This window comes from Homo sapiens, chromosome 20 (genome assembly GCF_000001405.40).
Source record: "Homo sapiens chromosome 20, GRCh38.p14 Primary Assembly".
NCBI classification, from domain to species: domain Eukaryota; kingdom Metazoa; phylum Chordata; class Mammalia; order Primates; family Hominidae; genus Homo; species Homo sapiens.
In genome coordinates this window covers 48,865,265-48,887,681 of record NC_000020.11, presented here as the reverse complement: position 1 = coordinate 48,887,681, position 22,417 = coordinate 48,865,265, and the positions used below count along the sequence as shown (strand labels likewise).

Below are 22,417 nucleotides of genomic sequence, written 5' to 3'. Positions count from 1 at the left end.
AATCACCGCACCCGGCAAACAACATTTTATTTTTATTTATTTATTTGTTTATTTATTATTTTGAGTTGGGGTCTCACTCTGTCGCCCAGGCTGGAGTGCAGTGGTGTGATCTTGGCTCACTGCAACCTCTGCTTCCCGGGCTCAAGCTGTCTTTCAGCCTCAGTCTCCCAAGTAGCTGGGACCACAGGTGTGAGCCACTATGCCTGGCTAATTTTTGTATATTTTGTAGAGACAGGGTTTTGTCATGTTGGCCAGGCTGAGTCAACCATGTTGGCCAGGTTTTGCCATGTTTTCCATGTTGACCAGTCTCTGACTCCTGAGCTCAAAGTGATCCGCATGCCTTGGCCTCCCAAAGTGCTGGGATTACAGGTGTGACCCACTGCTCCTGGCCACCAACATTTTAAATAAAGTGCTTTCCATGTATTGACTTGCTTAATCCTCATAAAAACTCTAAGAAAGATGGGGAAACTGAGGCACGGAGGTATGTATTAACTTGTTCAAGATTATGAGGCTGATCAGTAATAGCTGGGGTTTGAACCTATGCCACCTGCCTCCAGAGCCTTTGCTGTTTATCATGCAACTTTGGGCAAATCACCTACCTTCTCTAGGCTTCAGCTTCCTCATTTGCTGTTCCCTCATTGCCATTCCTCTTAAAGATAGTATTACCTGCCCTACCTACCTCCGATGGTTGTGAGGCTTAAATGAGATACTATATTGCTAAAGGGATTTTGCAAACTGTAAAGTACTGTGTACATGGAAGGGAGAACAACAGAGAGATCAACAGGGTCTTGGAGCCAGCCTGCTTGGATTCACCACCCAGCTCTGACATGTTAACAGATTGACTGGTTTTATGGCTACTGACTTAGCCTTTCTGTGCCTCAGTTTCTTCATCCGTAACATGGTGATAATACTAGTCCCTACCTTGTGGGATTGTGGAGAAAGTTAAATGAATTTATGTTTGTAAAAGCTAAGAAGAGTGCAGACACAAGCTTAATGCTATATAAATGTTTGCTTCTGTTTTTGTCTTTTACTTAACTTGTGAGACTGAGCGCCTTTGTCCCTTTGGGAACTGATTTTGTCTGGGCCTAGCTTCTGGGGGCTTTCTTTAAAAACACCACCATGAGGCCTGGGGAGATCAGGCTTCTGGTCACACATAGATGCAGAGAGTTTGTAAGTGCTTCTGGGTGGCCAGACCCAGCTGAGCAGTGGTTCCATGGTGGGGGTATTTGGCTCACTAAGGGTGGCCTGGCCAGCGCCTGGGGGTGTGCCAGGCTTCTGTTCTTAGCTTTGGCTGTGCAAGTGGCCCACTGCCAGGAGAAGGAAGTGAGAAGCCCAATCTCTGGATGACCAGTGCTAGGGTACATCAGAGCACCTGCGTGTGACTGGCCTTACCACGGAGGCTTCCAGAATTTCTTACACTAATGAATAAACTTTACTTTTAAGAGCAGTTTTAAGTTCACAGCAGAATTGAGTGGAAAATAGAATTTCTGTAGAAATTTTCAACATACCCCCATCCCTACATATTCACAACCTCCCCTACTACTGACATCCTGCACCACAATAATATATTTGCTACAACTGATGAACCTACATTGACACATTATTATCACCCATCATTATCCCCCGGAGTCCATAGTTTACATTAGGTTTCGGGATTGCACATTCTATGGGTTTTGACAAACATATAATGGCATGTATCCACCATTATGGTATCACACAGAACAATTTCACTGCCTTAAAAATCCTCTGTGCTCCAACTATTCATCTCTCCCTTTTCTCTAACCCCTGGCAACTACTAATCTTTTTACAGTCCCCATAGTTTTGCCTTTTCCAGAATGTCATGTCGTTGAAATCAGACAGGATGTAGCCTTTCAGACTGAAAGACTTCTTTTGCTTAGTAATATGCATTTAAGTTTCCTCCATGTCTTTCCACGGCTTGATAGTGCCCCCACCCCCGACCCCTGTTTTTAAAGTTTCTGGTCTGAAGGTGTCACAGTTTATTCATCCATTTGCCTATTGGAGGACATCTTGGTTGCTTCCAAGATTTTGGCAACTATGAATAAAGCTGCTATAAACATGATGTACAGGTTTTTGTGTGGAAATACGTTTTCAATTCCTTTGGGTAAATACCAAACAGTGTGATTGCTGGATCATATGGTAAGAGTAGGTTTAGTTTTGTAAGAAACTGCCAACCTGTCTTCAGAAGTGGCTGTGCCATTTTGCATTACTACTAGCAATGAATGAGAGTTTCTGTTGCTCCACATCCTTGCCAGCATTTGGTGTTGTCATCTTCCACTTTTAAACCAAAGCTCTACTATACCCATATTTTCTTCATCCATTCATTCATGTATTCGCTGTCATGTACTTATTCAAGAGATATTTATTAAGCGCCTGCAATATGCCACACACACTCTTTTAGGTGCTGGACCTACGACAGTGAAACAGGACAATGTTTGTACCAGGGCTGTATCTGTTATATCCAAATGACCTATAGTGATGATGATGATAGTGGCTAGTATTAGACTCCTTATTATGCTCTTCTTTATATGCGTTAACTCATTTACTCCTCAAACATCCCTAAAAGTGGTACTACTATATTTATCCCCATTTTATAGATGAGATAACAAAAGCAGAGAGAGGTTGAGTAATTTGCCTGAGGTCACACAGCTAGGTATAATGGACCTGGGGGTCCAACACAGGTGGTCAGGCTCTTTCATGCATGGACATTATCCAGATTTAAAACCCAGGATTTAGGCCAGGTGTAGTGGTCTTGAACCCCTGATCTCAAATGATCCATCCACCTCTGCCTCCCAAAGTGCTAGGATTACAGGCATGAGCCACCGTGCCCTGCCGGTTTATTTGTCTTTTTACTATTGGGTTGTATTCTTTAGATATTCTGGATATAAGCCCTTTATCACATATGATTTGCAAATATTTCCTCCCATTCAGTTGCTTGTCTTTTAACTTTCTTGATAGTGTCCTTTGAAACACAAGTGTTTAATTCTGATGAAGTCCAATGTATCTATTGTTTTTCTTTAGTCATTTATATTTTTTGACATCATATGTAACAAGGCCTTGCTTTACCCAAAGTCACAAATATTTATTCCAATGTTTTCTTCTAAGAAGTTTATAGTTTTAGTTCTTATCCTTAGGTCTGTGATCCACTTTTAGTTATTGTTTGCATATGATGTGATGAAGGAGTCCAAACTCATTGTTTTCACGTGACCACTTATTGAAAAGATTATATTGTCACATCAAACTATTTTGGTTCCATTGTAATAAGTCAACTGACTATAAATGTAAGGGTTTATTTCTGTCCTCTTAATCTGTTCCATTGACTTATCTGTCTATCCTTATGCCAACGCCACACTGTCTTGATTATTGTGACCTTATAGTAAGTTTTAAAATCAGGAATTGTGAGTTTTCCAATTTTGTTATTTGTCAAAGTTGTCTTGGCTGTTCTGGGTTGCTTATATTTCCACATGAATTTTAGGGTCAGCCAACTAAAAAGAAACCAGCTGGGATTTTTTTTTTTTTTTTTTTTAGACGGAGTTTTGCTCTGTCGTCCAGGCTGGAGTGCAGTGGTGATCTCGGCTCACTGCAAGCTCCGCCTCCTGAGTTCACGGCCGTTCTCCTGCCTCAGCCTCCCGAGTAGCTGAGACTACAGGCGTCCACCACCACGCCTGGCTAGTTTTTTGTATTTTTAGTAGAGACGGGGTTTCACCGTGTTAGCCAGGATGGTCTGGATCTGCTGACCTCGTGATCTGCCCACCTCAGCCCCCCAAAGTGCTGGGATTACAGGCCTGAGCCACTGCGCCCGGCCCCAGCTGGGAGTTTTATAGGAATTGCTTTAAACCTGTAGATTAGTTTGGGGAGTATTGCTACATTGATAATATTAAGTCTATCAGTCCATGAAAATGCAATGACTTTCCTTTTATTTCGGTCTTCTTTAATATTTCAACAGTGTTTTCAAGTCTTCACAGCATAAGTTTTGTACTTCTGTAAATTTATTCCTAAGTATTTTATCCTTTTTGATGCTATTGTAAAATGAATTGTTTGCTTAATTTTATTTTCTGATTTTTCATTGACACTTCATAGAGATAAATTTTTGTATGTTGATCTTATATCCCACAGCTTTGCTAAGCTTGTTTATTAATTCTAACAATTTTTAGTGGATTCCATGCCATTTATAATATACAGGATCAAGACATCTGAAAGTAGAATAAAATTTTATGTCTTCCTTTCTAAACTGGATGCCTTTTCCCCCTTATGTAATTGCCCTGGCTAGAATGTCCAGTACAATAATTAATAGATGCAATGAGAGCAGACATCTTGTCTTGTTGCTAATTTTAGGGGGAAAGCATTCATTCACCATCAAGTATGATGTTAGCTGTGGGATTTTTTACAATGCCCTTTCTATTTGTGGTTTTGATCATGAAAAGACAATGGGCCAGGCACGGTGTCTCATGCCTGTAATCCCAGCACTTTGGGAGGCCAAGGTGGACAGATACCTGAGGTCAGGAGTTTAAGACCAGTCTGGCCAACATGGTGAAACCCCGTCTCTACTAAAAAAATACAAAAAGTAGCTGGGCGTGGTGGCATGTGCCTGTAATTCCAGCTGCCTGGAGGCTGAGGCAAGAGAGTCGCTTGAACCCGGGAGGCTGAGAGGTCGCAGTGGGCCAAGATTGCATCACTGCGCTTCAGCCTGGGTGACAGAGCAAGACTTCATCTAAAAAAAAAAAAAAAAAAAGGACAACCCAACTGAAGGATGGACAAAGAATTTGAATAGACACTCCTTTAAAGAAGATATACAAATGACCAATAAGCTTATGAAAAGATGATTAAATTTATTATCACTGGGAAAATGCAAATTAAAGCCACAATGAAATACCAGTCCACACCCACTAGTGAGGATAAAATAAAAGACAGATAATAACAAGTGTCAGTGAGGCTGTGGAGAAGTTGCAGTCCTTATATATTGCTGGCAAAAATGTAAGATACCACAGCCACTTTGGAAAACAGTTTGGCAGTTCCTCAAAATATTAAGCATAGAATTGCCATTTAACCCAGCAATTCTACTCCTAGGTATATATACCCCAGAGACACAAAAATATACATACACATAGAAACTTCATAGAAACATGAAGATTCTCTCTTTTTTTTTTTTTTTTTTTTTTTTTGAGACGGAGTCTCACTGTGTTGCCCAGGCTTGAGTGCAGTGGCGCGATCTCGGCTCATTGCAAGCTCCACCTCCTGGGTTCACGCCATTCTCCTGCCTCAACCTCCCGAGTAGCTGGGACTACAGGCGCCCGCCACCACACCCGGCTAATTTTTTGTATTTTTAGTAGAGACGGGGTTTCACCGTGTTAGCCAGGATGGTCTTGATCTCCTGACCTCGTGATCCGCCTGCCTCCGCCTCCCAAAGTGCTGGGATTACAGGCGTGAGCCACCGCGCCCAGCAACATGAAGATTCTTAACAACATAATTCATAATACCCCAAACCTGGAAGCAATGCAAATGTCCATCAATTGATGGTTGTCTAAACAAAATGTATATCAAAATAATGGAATATTCTTTAGCTGTAAAAAGTTATAAAGAACTGATACATGCTGTAGCATGGATGAAGCTTGAAGACATCATGTTAAGTGGAAGAAGCTCGTCATAAAAAACATATTGTATGATGATCTGTATGATATATACAGAATAGGGGAGTGCATAGAGACAGAAAGTAGATTAGTAGTTGTCTAGGGCTGGGGGTGGGGGTGGGGAAAGGAGCATGGGTAGAGATGGGGATGGGGTTTCTTTTGAGAGTGATGAAAACATTCCGAAATTAGATTGTAGTGATGGTTGCACAACTACAAGAAACCATTGAATTGCACACTTAAAGATGAATTGTAGGCCAGGTGCTGTGGCTTACGCCTGTAATCCCAGCACTTTGGGAGGGCAAGGTGGGCAGATCATAAAGTCAGGCGTTTGAGACCAGCCCGGCCAATAGGGTGAAACCCCGTCTCTACTAAAAGTACAAAAATTAGCTGGGCGTCGTGGCAGGTGCCTGTAGACCCAGCTACTCAGGAGGCTGAGGCAGGAGAATCCCTTGAACCCGGAAGGCAGAGGTTGTAGTGAGCTGAGATCGTACCATTGCACTCCAGCCTGGGTGACAGAGTGAGACCCTGTCTCAAAAAAAAAAAAAAAATGAATTGTATGTAAATTCTATCTCAATAAAACTGTTAAAAATAAGTTAATAAATAAGGACAGTAGATACAAAGGCCAAAAATATGAGGGAGGAGTTATGATAAAAACCACCTGTCAATTGAACTTAAAAGCAAGTTTATTAAAAGGAGCATTTTAAAAAGCAATTGTTGGAAAGGATTTATTGCTGGGTTTAAATTCTTTTTTTATTATGGAAAAATGTTAAATGTACACCACAGTAAAGGGAAACATATAACAAAGCAGTCTCCATCACCCAGTCCAACAATTATCAACTCATGGCCCATCTGGTTTTCGCTATACTCCTACCCACTCCCCCACGCTGAATATTTGAAGCAAGTCCCAGAATCATGTTGTTTCATTATTGCAGAAATATTGTGAGGATATCGTCCACATGTCCCATGTCTTCCTCACAAAGACCTGTGGGTAGAGTTGCTTTTTAATCTCTGTATTGAGAAAAGAAGCTTTTTTTTTTTTTTTTTTTTTTTTTTTTAGCAATGGTTTGCTCTCTTTGCTTAGATATTACACTTAGTATTTAGTCATAGATTCCCCTTCTGCTATCATTACTAGGATTCTCAGAGACAATTTGGCAGCTGGACACCTTAAAGGTCCTTATAGTAGGCAGTTTTGTGAACCAGCTAAATGTCTCGCTTTATTTCATTTTCTTACCTGTGGCAGAAATGACTAGTGGCCTATGTATTATCCATTTGCCCTTCTTTCCTAGTAAATAAGCCCTGAACTTTATTTGGGGTGGCATCAGGCACAACTAAGAGATTACATTTCTCAGCCTCCTTTGTAGCTAGGACTACATTCTGGCCAATTATATGTAAGCTGAAGTTTTGGGCTGGAACTTCCAAAATGATCCTTAAAGAAAACTGGGATTACAGGATTTTTTCATTTCCTTCTTCTTGCTGCCCGAAATGTGGCTGCAATAGCTGGAGCTCCTGCAGTCATCCTGCAGCACGAGGTGGACTTTAGGATGGAGGCCACATTCTAAGGATAGTGAGGCAGGATGATAGAAAGAGATCGTATCCTCAATTTTGTGGAGCTACCACATCAGCTCTGGGTTTCCTCTCTCTAGATTTCATTTGTGTAAGAGAAAAATAAACATCTGTGGTGTTTATGCCACTGTTATTCCTGGTCTCTCTTACCAGCAGCTGAACACAATACCAATCGGATATACTACTCCTTATTTTTCCTTCTCCTTGACCACCTCATGTATTGATTTCAAGGTGTATATATTTGTATAAACCACTTTGAGTCCTTTGTGGACTTAGAGTCAAAATGAATAATTTATTAAACTACAGCATTACACAATTGAGCACATGGGTTCTTATTTCAAAGAACAGCAACAGAAAACATTTGCAGACAAAAAGTTAAACTGTGTCTTGTGATTCACAAAACTGAAGTTTGAATCAGGAAGGAAATCCATGGCTTATTACCAGAAAGATGGGCACCACATGGAAATTCAATTTCCAGCAGAGTGAGTTTTTAACATTTGAAAAGCTGAACAAAAATGGACCATATGTCCCACCATGGAGGAAGAGTTAGGCCAGCCATAGTGTATTAAAACAAAGGAATATCAGATTGCAACTAGGAATGACAAATATGACCATGATGTAGAAATAAGGGTAGAGGCTCTGTAAAGTAACAGGAAGGGGAAAGATAGGACTTGGCCTGGTGCCCATGCCTGCTTTGTCACCACTGTGCATAATTATGTCTCTGGCATTTTTAGGATCAGAAGAGGTTACATAGTTATCAATAATTGGTGATTTGGAGGGGAGTAAGGGTCTTATTTCATGGAGCTGTTGATAATTTAGTGTTTCCATTTAATGCAGGCATATTGACGAGTTGACAGATGTACCCAGAGGTGATATTAAAAATATGTAGCATGAATGAGACGCTAATCATAAACAGAATACAGGAGGCCCTGCTAGACCTGGTGTTAACCTTTTAGGTGCTAGATAGTAGAATGAGCTAGAGGATTCCAACAGACGAGTTGGGTGCATTCTGGAGAGCCACAGAGCATGTGGGAGATTCAGAACAGTACTGTTTATCAACTATTATGAATGTATTTCAGTATTTAAATAACCAGTATAACTACACTGGTCCCAAGTGAATACCAGCTTTGATTATAGATAAGTTTAAACATTTTTTTCTTAGGTAAAGAACGTAAAAGGGAAAACAGATTTAAATATGTGTATGGAAGATGAAACTGCAAAATAATAATGACTTTTTCTTTTGGAGCACGTATTGTACTAAACACTTCATGTAATTCACCATCTCATTTAATCCTCGCAATAGCAGCCCTTCAAAATGGTCTCTTGGTTACAAGTGACTACAACCCAAGTCACAATGGCTTGAGCAAAGAAGGGTACCTACTACAATATGTAACTGAAAAGTCTAGTGGGATTCAGGCATGGCTGAATCCAGGGGCTCAAAGATGTCACCGGAACTCAGTTTTCCTCTTCCTGCTTCACCGCTCTGCTTTCCCTGGCACTGATTTTACTCACAAGTGAGTTTTCTCTCCAGCGGGTGGCTTGGGAGCCTCAATACTTCCATTATCCTTCTAATAATATCAACATACAGAAAGCTTTTCATTTCTAATCATCCCAATAAAGGTTCAGGATTGAATCTCATTAGATTGAGTTGGGTCACATGCCCATCCCTGAACCACATGCTATGAGTGGTTCTGGAATGCTGTTGGATGTTCTGATTGGCCAGGCCTAAGTCACACGTCCATCTCTGGATCTGGGATAGGTCAACACTTCCTAAAACACATGGAAGGAAGGTGTGGTAGGGCAGATGCCAGAGAGTTGCCAGAAAAAGGGGAATGTGGCCGGGCGCGGTGGCTCATGCCTATAATCCCAGCACTTTGGGAGGCTGAGGCGGATGGATCACAAGGTCAGTAGATCAAGACCATCCTGGCTAACACAGTGAAACCCATCACTACTAAAAATACAAAAAATTAACTGGGTGTGGTGGCACGTGCCTGTAATCCCAGCTACTCGGGAGGCTGAGGCAGGAGAATCGTTTGAACCAGGGAGGTGGAGGTTTCAGTGAGCCGAGATCGTGCCACTGCACTCCAGCCTAGGCAACAGAGTGAGACTCCATCTCAAAAAAAAAGAAAAAGGGGAATTCTGGGCAAAGTATCAGGTGTCTACTAGAAGAGGTCTCATTTTATTAGCAAAGAAAATGAGGCTACTGCATGTATACTTTTTGTGGCTATGCAAGGAGAGCAGCCTGGCTGGAGCAGAGTGAACGAAGGGGAGACTAGGAGGTCAGTGAATAACTGGGGTTGGGGCAGGGTGCATGTTGGGTAGGGCCTTGTGGGCTATTGTAAGAACTTGGGCTTTTTTTGTGTGTGAGACAGAGTCTCACTCTGTTGCCCAGGCTGGAGTGCAGTGGTGTGATCTGAGCTCACTGCAACCTCCGCTTCCTGGGTTCAAGCGATTATCCTGCCTCAGCCTTCCAAGTAGCTGGGATTATAGGCATACACCACCATGCCCGGCTAATTTTTGTATTTTTAGTAGAGATGGAGCTTCGCCATGTTGGCCAGGCTGGTCTCAAACTCCTGATCTCAGGTGATCCGCCCGCCTCAGCCTCCCAAAGTGCTGGGATTATAGGCGTGAGCCACCACGCCTGGCTCAGAACTTGGGCTTTTGTTCTGAAGAACTTGGGCTTTTGTTCTGAGTGAGGAGCTTTTAGAGCAGAGGAGTCAAATGATTTGTTGTAGGTTTTAAAAAGGATCACTCTAGTTGCTCTATTGTTCAAATGTAAAATGTTTTATTGCTGTCTCTAATCTTTCGTATTTATTAATGTAACAAATATGAAATGGACATGGGGCCTACACCAGGCCAATCAGTGTAGCCCATTTCCCTGCCCAGTGATTGTATCAGAGATCAGCATGTGACCCACACTGATCCAGCTAGAGCCAGTTTAAGCATTTCTATTACTATTGGGAGAAAAGAAACCCAACTGGTGTTGCTAAGCTATTTTGCCACTGAGAGCCACCACTGAGTTAGAATCTAACTGAGGCTGGCACAAAGAGTGCAGAAAAAAGTGCTGAGGGAAAAGAAAGTCTGATCTTGGTGATGTTCTTTGACTCCTAGATCTATCCATGCCTGAAGTCATTCTAGACCTGGATTTCTCTATTCCGTGAGTTAATATATCATACTTTTTTTTCTTTCTTTTTTTTTTTTTGAGATGGAGTTTCGCTCTTGTTGACCAGGCTGGAGTGCAATGGCACGATCTTGGCTCACTGCAACCTCCACCTTCTGGGTTCAAGCAATTCTCCTGCCTCAGCCTCCTGAGTAGCTGAGATTATAGGCATGTGAATCACCACGCCTGGCTAATTTTGTATTTTTAGTAGAGAGGGGGTTTCACCATGTTGGTCAGGCTGGTCTTGAACTCCTGACCTCAGGTGATCCACCCGTCTCAGCCTCCCAAAGTGTTGGGATCACAGGTGTGAGCCATTGCGCCCGGCCTATATATCATACTTTTCAATGAAGCCTTTTTGAGCTGAGTTGCTAATACTTACAACTGAAAGAATCCTGAATGAGGTGACAGGTAGACTGAGCCCCACTACATGCTTGGGTCCAGATTCAGATACCCCAATGGTTCTGACTGGGTTCTGGTTCCCAAAGAGCTCATGGTTAAGTGATGGAAATAGATAAAGACCCTGTAAAAATAAAAGATGGTAAATATTGTGCCTCTTTACCTGCTTCCATCTAGATTATAGACTTGTTTTGAGCAATGATAGTCTTTTCCCCTTTTCATCTTCCCAAGAATATTTAGGCCATAATGGAGCTGTTTGGGGAGTGCTCCCTAAATAGTGCCTAAGAGTTTGCTTGAGGATGTGACTTCCAACAAGAAAATGTTAAAAATCCAGGGTGACTGGGAAACCTACCTGCCTCCCAGGCGAGATCACACATCCAAGAGTCGCCCTCAACCACCACCCATCCCACAGACCCCTTGCTGGCAATTAATCAGGAAGATAAAAAGAGAAAACAAGCAAAGCTCTATTCCCTTTCTTTGGTTCCAAGGAGCAGTTTGTTTGATAAGATAAGCACTTGGCCACCTCTTGCCATCTTTTATGTTGCATTGGGTTTCATTTGTGTCCTCCAAAGGGCGGATCCCACAGACAGAACTGTCTCCAGAGGGCTCTGGTTGGCTCCCGTCCTGCCCACCTGAGGCTGGGTGGATGAGAAAAACACTTCTCCAACCTCAGTCTTAACAGCAGTCTTGGGTGGGAGCCTGCTGGGGAAAGAACTTCCTGACCCCTGGACTGGGGATAGGATTACAGGATCTATCACCCCCATCTGCCACCTTGGCCTCCCCAAAAGTCGTGTGTTTGTGTGGAGGGAGAGGAGGAAGGGCCCCAATGACTCACTCAAGTCCCTTGGGGTGAGAGAGCACAGGAGGTGAATCTGCCAAGTTATTACGAACCATCTGATCAGGCCACTCCCTCGTTCCCATGTCAGGCATCGGAGGCTCTGCATAACCAACCCCCAGGTGAACGGTCCAGCATTCCCCTATGCCTTTCTCCTCCAGGAGCCTGAGCTTGAATCCTTCCCAGTCTCTTCTCCACACCAGCTGGGCATGTTCCAAACACCCCGCCTTGGCCTTTGCTGTGCCTTCTGCCCGTCGTCCCTTTCTTCCCAGCCTTGCTTAGCAATGTCCTATTTGTTCGGCTCACCTGTCGCCTCGTGACACCCTCCAAACCCAATCCCTCCCCACTTCTTCCCTTACCCTGCACTGAAACACGTCAGACTTCTCTCCTGTGCCTTTTTCAAACTCCATTAAAGGGCTTCTCCAGTTTTGCTATTTGAAACACGCTTTTGAGAACTTGAATGTTTAGCTGCATACCCAGATTCAGTCCCCTCCAGAGTCATCACACAACGTACACAATACTGATCGCGGCCCTGCTTCTAAGCCACTTACCGCCCTGACTGTGCCCTCTTAGATGCCCAGGAAGCCACTCTTCTGTGGTCACTCTGGCACCAGCTTGTGGTCATGTCACACCTTTCCCTAAACAGCTTAGCTCAAGTCCCTGCACAGCCCAGCGTCTGCCAGCTGCTCAGCCTTCTCCTTTCCTCCTCACAGTCATCCTTACCCTGCTGCCCTCCTTTCTGTGTCTACAATGCCCAGCCCTCTCCAGCTTCAATGCTTTCGCACCCGCCGTTCCCTCTGCGGGGATCTCTCTTCCCTTGTTCTTCAGCTGCTTCCCACTTGGCCTTCAGGTTTTGGCTGGAATGTTCATTCCCCAAGAAACCTTCCCTGACACCCAGTCTGAATGAAGCCCCCTGAGCGCACACTCATGTCACACCGGATGCTGCTGAAGACTGTAGTATTTGTCACTGTTCCCACTTCATGTGAGAGTACGTTCTTTCTCCTTTCGCTCAGTCTTACCCATTTTCTGGGAAGATGGCTAAGACCTGTGTCCTCCCCAAACTCTGATCAGGGATACTAGCTTCTGGCTGAGCTCTCTGTCAAGGGACAGCTTTGAGACAGACAGATAATAAAACTCCCCATGGGTACCCAAGGCTTACACTAGCACATCCCACCATCTTTTCTTTTCTTTCTTTTTTTTTTTTTGAGACACAGTTTCACTCCCGTTGCCCAGGGTGGAGTGCAGTGGTGTGATCTCGGCTCACTACAACCTCCACCTCCTGGGTTCAAGTGATCCTCCTGCCTCAGCCTCCCCCGTAGCTGGGACTATAGCCGTGTGTCACCATGCCCAGCTAATTTTTGTATTTTTAGTAGAGACCGGGTTTTACCATGTTGGTCAGGCTGGTCTCAAACTCCTGACCTCAAGTCATCTGCCTGCCTTAGCCTCCCAAAGTGCTGGGATTACAGGTGGGAGCCACCATGCCTGGCCACATCCTGCCATCTTATTAAACTGCTTCAAGAGAGGCTCCTGGTTTCTTTGGCTTAATTGTAAGTGACCTGAGGGTGAAGGTCTTTCCTCCTCTTCATCATGTCTCCCAAACTCCCGCCACAACGCTAGTCATAGTGAACACTCTCCTAAATCACACGACACCACCCACCCCCTACACACACACACACACACACACACACACACACACACACACACACACACGGACACCCCTCCTCTGTGGTCCCAAAGGATAAATGTAGGGGGCTGATAACAACAGGTTTTGTGGTGCAACCTCTTGTGCTTTTATAGAGGCAGCTCACTGTAAATCAAAAGAATTTTTGGAAAGTCGTGGGTTCGAATTCTGGTTCAGCTATGTAAGAGGTGGGTGATCTTGGATAAGCATTTTAACCCCAGATTCCTCATTTATAAAATGGTGACCCCAAATGCCTAATTGTAGAGTCCATATAATAATTACATGACTAGATGCTTATAATTGTCAGGTACAAATACATGTAGAATGATCTCATTGTATTAAGTAAACGTTTCTGACCTGGGTGTGGTAGCATGCCTGTAGTCCCAGCTACTCGGGAGGCTGAGATGGGAGGATTGCTTGAGCCCAGGAGGTAGAGGCTGCAGTGGGCTGCGATTGCCCCACTGTAATCCAGCCTGGGTGACAGAGCAAGACTGTCTCGGCACCAAGGGGGCAAAATAGCTTTCTCTGTGTGTAAACGCCTGGGAAAAGTGTTTACCTCTAGGGAGTAGGGGGAAGATGGTGGGATGAGGAGCATGGTGACGTATTTTCCGCTGTTGTTGTGCTTTTATATTTTCTTGCTTGAATTTTTATTTTTTTAATTTTTATTTATTTATTTTTTTTGAGACAGAGTCTCGCTATTGTCATCCAGGCTAGAGTGAAGTGGCACAATCTCAGCTCACTGCAACCTCCACCTCCAGGGTTCAAGCTATTCTCCTGCCTCAGCCTCCCAAGTAGCTGGGATTATAGGCGCCCGCCACCATACCGGCTTTTTTTTTTTTTTTTTTTTGTATTTTTACTAGAGACTGGGTTTCACCATGTTGGCCAGGCCGGTCTTGAACTCCTGACCTCAGGTGACCTGCCCGTCTTGGCCTCCCAAAGTGCTGGGATTACAGGAGTGAGCCACTGCACCCGGCCTCTTGCTTGAATTTTTAATAAGACTGCACTCCTGTATTACTTGTTGCTGTAGATTAGACTGCCGTAGAGCAAACATTTCCCTTTTCCTCTTCCATTTCCCTGGAATGAATGGACTTCTCCATCTCATCTTTAGTCTTGGCCATGTGACTTGCTTTGGCCACTGAGATGGCAGTGGACATGAACCAAACAAAGGTTTGAAATGTACAGTGGAGGTGAACTTTTCCCTTGTGTGCCTGGCTTTCATGATACTGAGAACATGCCCTGAGTAGCCCACAAGTCCCAAAGGATGAGTGACACGCAGGGTAGATCAGAGCTGAGTCCAATGGCCAGAGGCCCAGCTGAGCTCATGAGACCAACAGCATCTCCTCAGAAAATCCACAGATCCATGAGCAAGAAATAAATGAGAGTTTGTTATGTAGCCAAAGCTGACTGGTACATGGTGTTATTTTGAAAAGAGAAAAAAAATTAAACAGAAAAAAATAAAATCAGGAAACAGAGTGCCCAGCAAATTGCTGTTGAGTAAATGTTACTTCCTCTTTCATCCTCTTACCCTCCTGAAAGGGCTGACTCAGGAGCCTCCGGAAATACTTCCGGGGCTCTGTTTGAACAGGTTGTCCTTCCTCATGGCACTTTGTACCCATTGCTTATTTTGTTATTTATTTATTTATTTATTTGTTTATTGAGACAGAGTCTCGCTCTGTTGCCCAGGCTGGAGTGCAATGACACGATCTCGGCTCACTGCAACCTCTGCCTCCCAGATTCAAGTGATTCTCCTGCCTCAGCCTCCTGAATAGTTGGAATTACAGGTGCCTGGCACCATACCCGGCTAATTTTTTATATTTTTTAGTATAGATGGGGTTTCACCATGTTAGCCAGGCTGCTCTTGAACTCCTGACCTCTAGTGATCTGCCTGCCTCGGCCTCCCCAAGTGCTGAGATTACAGGCATGAGCTGCCGATCCCGGCCACTTATCTTGTTCTGTCTTGTAAAATACTTAGTTGATCTCAAGCCTGTCTTGCCAACTGGAAGACAATTCCTTCCTTCAAGGAGTGTACAATCTAGTTGCACAAACACTGCAAATATAGAAAGGAATTGCTTTACATGTATATTCAACTTATACGTATCCAACTCTATGTGCTCAGTGAAAAAAAACCACAACATGGTGTGACGCATGTGGATGATTCTGCCCACTGCTCTTGTCTCAGTGAAGGTATGTCACGGAGGAGAACAAGTGAGAGAGGTACCCTGAATCTTTTTTTTTTTTTTTTTGAGACAGAGTCTTGCTCTGCCACCCAGGCTGGAGTGCAGTGGCATGATCTCGGCTCACTGCAAGCTCCGTCTCCCAGGTTCACGCCATTCTCCTGCCTCAGCCTCCCGAGTAGCTGGGACTACAGGTGCCCGCCACCACGCCCGGCTAGTTTTTTGTATTTTTAGTAGAGACGGGGTTTCACCATGTTAGCCAGGATGGTCTCGATCTCCTGACCTCGTGATCCGCCCGCCTCAGCCTCCCAAAGTGCTGGGATTACAGGCGTGAACCACCACGCCCGGCCGAGGTGCCCTGAATCTTGTCAGCCTTTCATAGCCTGAGTATTTTGGTGAGCTGGACCTGACTCTAATGTTTAAAGGTATATATTTTGTGTCTGGTGTGATTACCAAGCACAATTCACAATATAGACTATTATTATCTCCATATTATAGTTAAGAAAACTGAAGCTTAGGAGGGACAAGTAAATTACCCAAAATCATACAGCTTGCAGGAGGTTGAGCCAGGACTGACGCTCCAAGTCTGTCTGAATCCTAAGCTTCCTCAAGCACTTGGATAAAAGAACAGAAGTAAATATGGTTTTTTTTTTTTTTTTTTTTTTTTTTTTGAGATGGAGTCTCACTCTGTTGCCCAGGCTGGAGTGCAGTGCCACAATCTCATCTTGTTGCAACCTCTGCCTCCCGGGTTCAAGTGATTATCATGCTTCAGTCTCTTGAGTAGCTGGGATTACAGGCACCTGCCACTGCACCCAGCTAATTTTTGTATTTTTCATAGTAGAGACAGGGTTTTGCCATGTTACCCAGGTAGGTCTCGAATTCCTGACCTCAAGTGACCTGCCTGCTTTGGCCTCCCAAAGTGCTGGGATTACAGGCGTGAACCACCACGCCCGGCCGAGGTGCCCTGAATCTTGTCAGCCTTTCATAGCCTGAGTATTTTGGTGAGCTGGACCTGACTCTAATGTTTAAAGGTATATATTTTGTGTCTGGTGTGATTACCAAGCACAATTCACAATATAGACTATTATTATCTCCATATTATAGTTAAGAAAACTGAAGCTTAGGAGGGACAAGTAAATTACCCAAAATCATACAGCTTGCAGGAGGTTGAGCCAGGACTGACGCTCCAAGTCTGTCTGAATCCTAAGCTTCCTCAAGCACTTGGATAAAAGAACAGAAGTAAATATGGTTTTTTTTTTTTTTTTTTTTTTTTTTTTGAGATGGAGTCTCACTCTGTTGCCCAGGCTGGAGTGCAGTGCCACAATCTCATCTTGTTGCAACCTCTGCCTCCCGGGTTCAAGTGATTATCATGCTTCAGTCTCTTGAGTAGCTGGGATTACAGGCACCTGCCACTGCACCCAGCTAATTTTTGTATTTTTCATAGTAGAGACAGGGTTTTGCCATGTTACCCAGGTAGGTCTCGAATTCCTGACCTCAAGTGACCTGCCTGCTTTGGCCTCCCAAAGTGCTGGGATTACAGGCGTGAGCCACTGTGCCCTGCCTAAATATGATTTTTACGGTTGGTTGTTACACAACACAAGCTGACATCTGAGAGCAGGGCACTTGGTGGATGTGGGGCAGCCCCATCCACAGTCACCACCCTCAAGTAAGATTGGAACTTTTTCAACTTTTTGAACGGACAAAGGCTCCACGTGACTTTGCAGAAGCCACAGTTTCTCACTGCCAAAGTTGAGGGATCCCAGAAGTTAGTAGTCAGCTGGGAAGCGGATCAGGTGCAGCCATAGAAATCAGACAGTGCAGATTCAAGTCCTGGGCAACTTGAGGCGAGTCACTCAACATTCTGGGCTTTGAAGAGTTGGAGTTGGGAAAGTTGGGGCCTGCTGGCTTGATGTGGCCCACTGGCATGTTTGTTTGTATCGCACATTATTTTTATTTTGTTTTGTTTTAGTTTTTTAAATCAGTATTAAAACAATAAGGTGTGTAATTGTGAAAAAAATAGTCCCTCATACATGGCTGCAGGAATGGATCTTGGTACAACCACTATGAGGGGACAAGTAGGCAAATTCCTTACATATTAGAAATGCACATACAGAAATTCTAATTTGGAGAATTTAGTTACAGATACATTTGCATATGTGAAAAATATATATGTAGGAGGTTATTCAGGCAGCATTGTTTATTTTATTTTACTTTTTAATTTTACGTTAAGTTCTGGGATACATGTGCAGAGTTTGCAGGTTTGTTACATAGGTATACATGTGCCATGGTGGTTTGCTGCACCTATCAACCTGTCATTTAGGTTTTAAGCCCAGCGTGCATTAGGTGTTTGTCCTAATGCTCTCTCCCCGCTTACCCTGCAACTCCCAAAAGGCCCTGGTATGTGTTGTTCCCCTCCTGTATCCATGTGTTCTTGTTGTTCAACTCCCACTTATGAGTGAGAACATGCAGTGTTTGGTTTTCTGTTCCTGTGTTACTTTGCTGAGGATGATAGCTTCCAGCTTCATCCATGTCCCTGCAAAGGACATGATCTTATTCTTTTTTATGGCTGCATAGTATTCCATGGTGTATATGTACCACCTTTTCTTTATCCTATCTATCATTGATGGACATTTGGGTTGGTTCCATGCCTTTGCTATTGTAAATAGTGCTCAGCACTATCAATACCTATGCAGCATTGTTTAAAATGCAACAGTCTAGAAAAACAATCTAAATGGGGGTGGGTTAAATCAAATATGGGTCATCCAACCAGTCAAGGTAGCTCATGCCTGTAATCCCAGCACTTTGGGAGGCCAAAGCAGGAGGACAGCTTGAGCCCAGGAGTTTGAGACTGCAATGAGCCATAATCACACCACTGCACTCCAGCCTGGGCAACAGAGTGAGACCCCGTCTAAAAAAAAAAACAAAACAACAAAAACAAAACAAAACAAAAAAACACTGCAAAAAAATAGATCATCCGTATGGTGGAATACAGCTGTGCAACTGTAAAAATAATGAGGATACATATAGTCTATGTACTAATAAAGAAGATTCTTGGCTGGGTATGGTGGCTCACACCTGTAATTCCAGCATTTTAGGAGGTCAAGGCAGGAGGATCACTTGAGCCCAGCAGTTTGAGACCAGCCTGAGTGACATAGTGAGACCCCCATCTCTACAAATAAAAAAATTAGCCAGGCATGGTGGCACGTGCCTGTAGTCCCAGCTACTTGGGAGGCTGAGGTGAGAGGATTGCTTGAACCCAAGAGGTCGAGGCTGCAATGAGCTCTGTTTGTGCCACTGCACTCCAGCCTGGGTGATAGCGCAAAACTCTGTCTCAAAGAAAAAAAAGAAAAAAAAAGATTCTTTAGGATAGATTATTTAATTAAAAAGCACGGTGTAAAACAATGTGTTTGTTATGCTCTCTTTTATGTAAAATGGGATAAAACACGGAAAAAAGGTATGTTTATGTTACTATTTGTTTGTATAATTATAAAGACACTTTATCCACAATAAATCAGTAATTGTGGTTACCTGTGGAGTGGGAAACTGTAGTAGGAGGGAGACATTTTCTGTACCTTTTCAACTGTTTTGAATTTTGAGTTTTGAAAAGAAAAGTTAAAAAAATCAGGTTTTTCTTACTTTGGGAGGCTGAGGCAGTTGGATCACTTGAGGTCAGGAGTTTGAGACCAGCCTGACCAACATGTTGAAACCCTGTCTCTACTAAAAATACACACAAAAAATTAGCTAGGTGTGGTGACACACACCTGTAATCCCAGCTACTTTGGATTTGGAGGCTGAGGCAGGAGAATCACTTGAACCTGGGAGGCGGAGGTTGCAGTGAGCCGAGATCATGCCATTGCACTCCAGCTTGGGTAACAAGAGCGAAACTCTGTCTCAAAAAAAAAAAATTAAGTGTTTTCCTGTATAGATGATGTAGCATTCCTGCAGGCAAAAGCAGATTGGAGCTGATTAGTGACTGTCTCCTAGAAGGGGTTTGGGTTTTCCTGTTTGCCATAGCTTCCACCACTCCCTCTTGTCTCCCTGGCTCCAAGCACCAGTGTCTGTTACCATTTATCACTTTGTTCACTGTTGTTTTTCTTAGACAGGAGTATAAGAAGTGTTTCAAGAAACTTATATTCATGTCTGTCAAAAGTAGCAAATTTGTTGCATGACAGTGAGAATGTACTGAACACTACTAAACTGTACACTTCAAACAGGTTAATGAGTGGCACAGTGGCTCACGCCTGCAATCCCAGCACTTTGGGAGGCCAAGGTGGTAGGATCACTTGAGGCAAGGACTTCCAGACCAGCCTGGGCAATATGGTGAGACTCCATCTGTACAGGAAAAAAAAAAAAAAAAGGTTAAGATGGTAAATTTTAGGTTATGTGTATTGTACACAATTGTTTTATTTATTTATTTGTTTGTTTGTTTGTTTGAGACAGAGTCTCACTCTGTCACCCAGGCAGGAGTGCAGTGGCACAATCTTGGCTCACTGCAACCTCCACCTCCCCGGTTCAAGTGATTCTCCTGCCTCAGCCTCTCAAGCGATTCTCCTGCCTCAGCCTCTCAAGCGATTCTCCTGCCTCAGCCTCTCAAGTAACTGGGATTACAGGTGCATGCCACCACACCCAGCTAATTTTATATACAATTATTTTTAAAAAGTGGCAGACTCTACACCTGTGGAGAGATGCAAAGATGGATGACTCCTTTGACCAACAAAAGTTCTAGGATGGATTCTCATCCGCCCAGCTTGGCTCAGGTGCCTGGCCTGTGGCCAGTGGAGAGGGAATAGCTGATCTGTGCCTCTTCTAGACATTCCCTGGGGGGCCCTCGAAGGTGTAACTCTGGGGTAGGTGCTTTCAAGGTCTCTCCTGCCTCTATGATTCTGGCACTGCTTCTGCCCCTAACTTGCTGGGTGGCCTTGGACAAACCATGTCCCCTCTCCAAGCCTCTATTTTCCCACCTGTTACATGAGAAACTTGAAGTGGATTGGCTTGCAGGCTCTTCAGCTCCAAGAGCTTCCCACTTGATTTCTCCTTGAACAATTCCTCTGTTCCTGTCTCCAAAGAGAGATTAAGTGGGCTTGAGGCTGGGCTGGGGAGCAGGAGGCCTCCTTTTCTTGTTGGGGTTGTGTGGGCTGCAGTGGGAGGTTCCCTTTTCTTCCTTCCTTACTTTCCTTTTTTAAAATTTCAACCAGAAAGTTATTTTAAACCCTAAGTGGGGAGCTGCTAAAAGTCACACACCTTAGAACTCATGTGCTACAACCTCTTATGGAGGAAGAGCAAGCGATTCTTTTTTTTTGAGATAGGATCTCCCTCTGTTTCCCAGGCTGGAGTGCAGTGGGGTGATCTCGGCTAACTGCAACCTCCACCTCCCAGGCTCAAGTGATCCTCCCACCTTAGCCTCCTAAGTAGCTAGGACCATAGGCAAGTGCCACCATACTTGGCTAATTTTATATTTTTGGGGGTAGAGATGGATTTTTGCCATGTTGCCCAGGCTGGTCTCTAGCGCCCAGACTCAAGCGACCCGCCCACCTCTGCCTTCCAAAGTGCTAGGATTACAGGTGTGAGCCACTGTGCCTGGCCAAGCAGTTCTTAATTCTTGCTGTTCTCTCTTCTCCCCAACCCTCGCCCCATGGGAGGGGCAACCCATCCCATTTATCCTCTGGCTGAGCTGAGTCAAAAAACTGAGAAACTTTGGTGTCCTCTATGACTGCAGTCCTCAGACCACTGCCTCTCCAACTTGCGCCTGCCTGTGGCTCACCTGGACAGCTTGTTAACACACATTCTGCTCCAGTGGTCCTGGGCTGGAGTTCTGCATTTCTAACAGTTTCCCAGACAATGCCCATGAGCAGCCAGGCCTTGAGCCACAGGACCCAGGTTGCTGTTAGCTCAAAAAATCCATCTGGAAAATGGCCTGAAAATCGCTTACCTGCTCCTTCTCATTTTGATTTGGACCTGCTACCCTATTTTAAATAATATTTTTTAAAAAACATTAAAACATGCACAAAGTAAAAAATTAAAAGTTTAGCCAGAGGATCCCTTGAGGCCAGGAGTTTGAGACCAGCCTGGGCAACACAAGGAGAAGATCTTGTCTCTACAAAAACTTTAATAATTAGCCAGGTATGGTGGCACACACTTGTAGTCCCAGCTTCTCAGGAGGCTGAGGTGAGAGGATTGCTTGAGCCGAGGAAGTTGAGGCTTTAGTGAGTTACGATCTCACCATTGCACTCCAGCAGGGCAACAGAGTGAGATCCTGTCTCAAAAAAAAAAAAAAAAAGTTTAACACTTCGAAAAGGGCATACACTGAAAAATTGGTCACCCCTTGTCCCGTCTCCCAGTTTTCCCAGTGCCCAGAGGTAATAGCCCATTATCCATGTTTTTGTGCCTTCTTCCAGGGAGAGTTTGTGCACAATAATTATTATACAGCTGTTCCTTATTGACCATTTCCTACGTCCTAGGCATTGAGAAATGCCTCTTGTGTAGATGACTTTATTTAATTTTTCCAACAAGTCCAATTTTACAGTTAAGGAAACTGGAGCACAGAGAGGTTGAAACTTCGATCTTCATTGCACAGCAAGGGAGGGCCAATACTGGGATGCCAGGCCTCAGGATGCTAAAAGCTCTTGTGGAGGAACTCCCAGTTCAACACCTCTATAGACAGAGCCCCTGCCCACCTCTTTTTGTTTCTTTTGTAACAATCAGGATAGCATATAATGTTCTGAACCTTTCTTTTTCACCCTTAACAGTTTATGCTGAAGAGGGCTCAATTGCAATACATGGAGACCCGTCTTCCTTTGAACAGCTGCCAAAGATTTCTTTGCAAGCACGGACCTGGTTTCTTTAACCAGGGACCTGTGTGGGGGGTAGGAGAAGAAAGGGGTCATTCCAGTTCTTTCTACAAATTTCTGTCAAGCGTAGCATTGCACATACTTCATTTTACACATGTGCGAAGATATCTGTACG

General features: G+C 44.0%; 1 protein-coding gene across 1 annotated transcript in view, besides 1 other annotated feature; it reads left to right on the top strand.

Moving 5' to 3' along the window:
* Positions 1 to 22,417, top strand: part of PREX1 (phosphatidylinositol-3,4,5-trisphosphate dependent Rac exchange factor 1) — a 263,934-nt gene that overhangs the window by 504 nt on the left and 241,013 nt on the right. The window lies entirely within an intron of this gene.
* Positions 14,805 to 14,884: an enhancer, noted in NCBI's record as "active region_18051". NCBI's record gives its function as "activates an Ori minimal core promoter by ATAC-STARR-seq in GM12878 lymphoblastoid cells {active_cell/tissue: GM12878}" and the evidence as "EXISTENCE:reporter gene assay evidence [ECO:0000049][PMID:35858748]".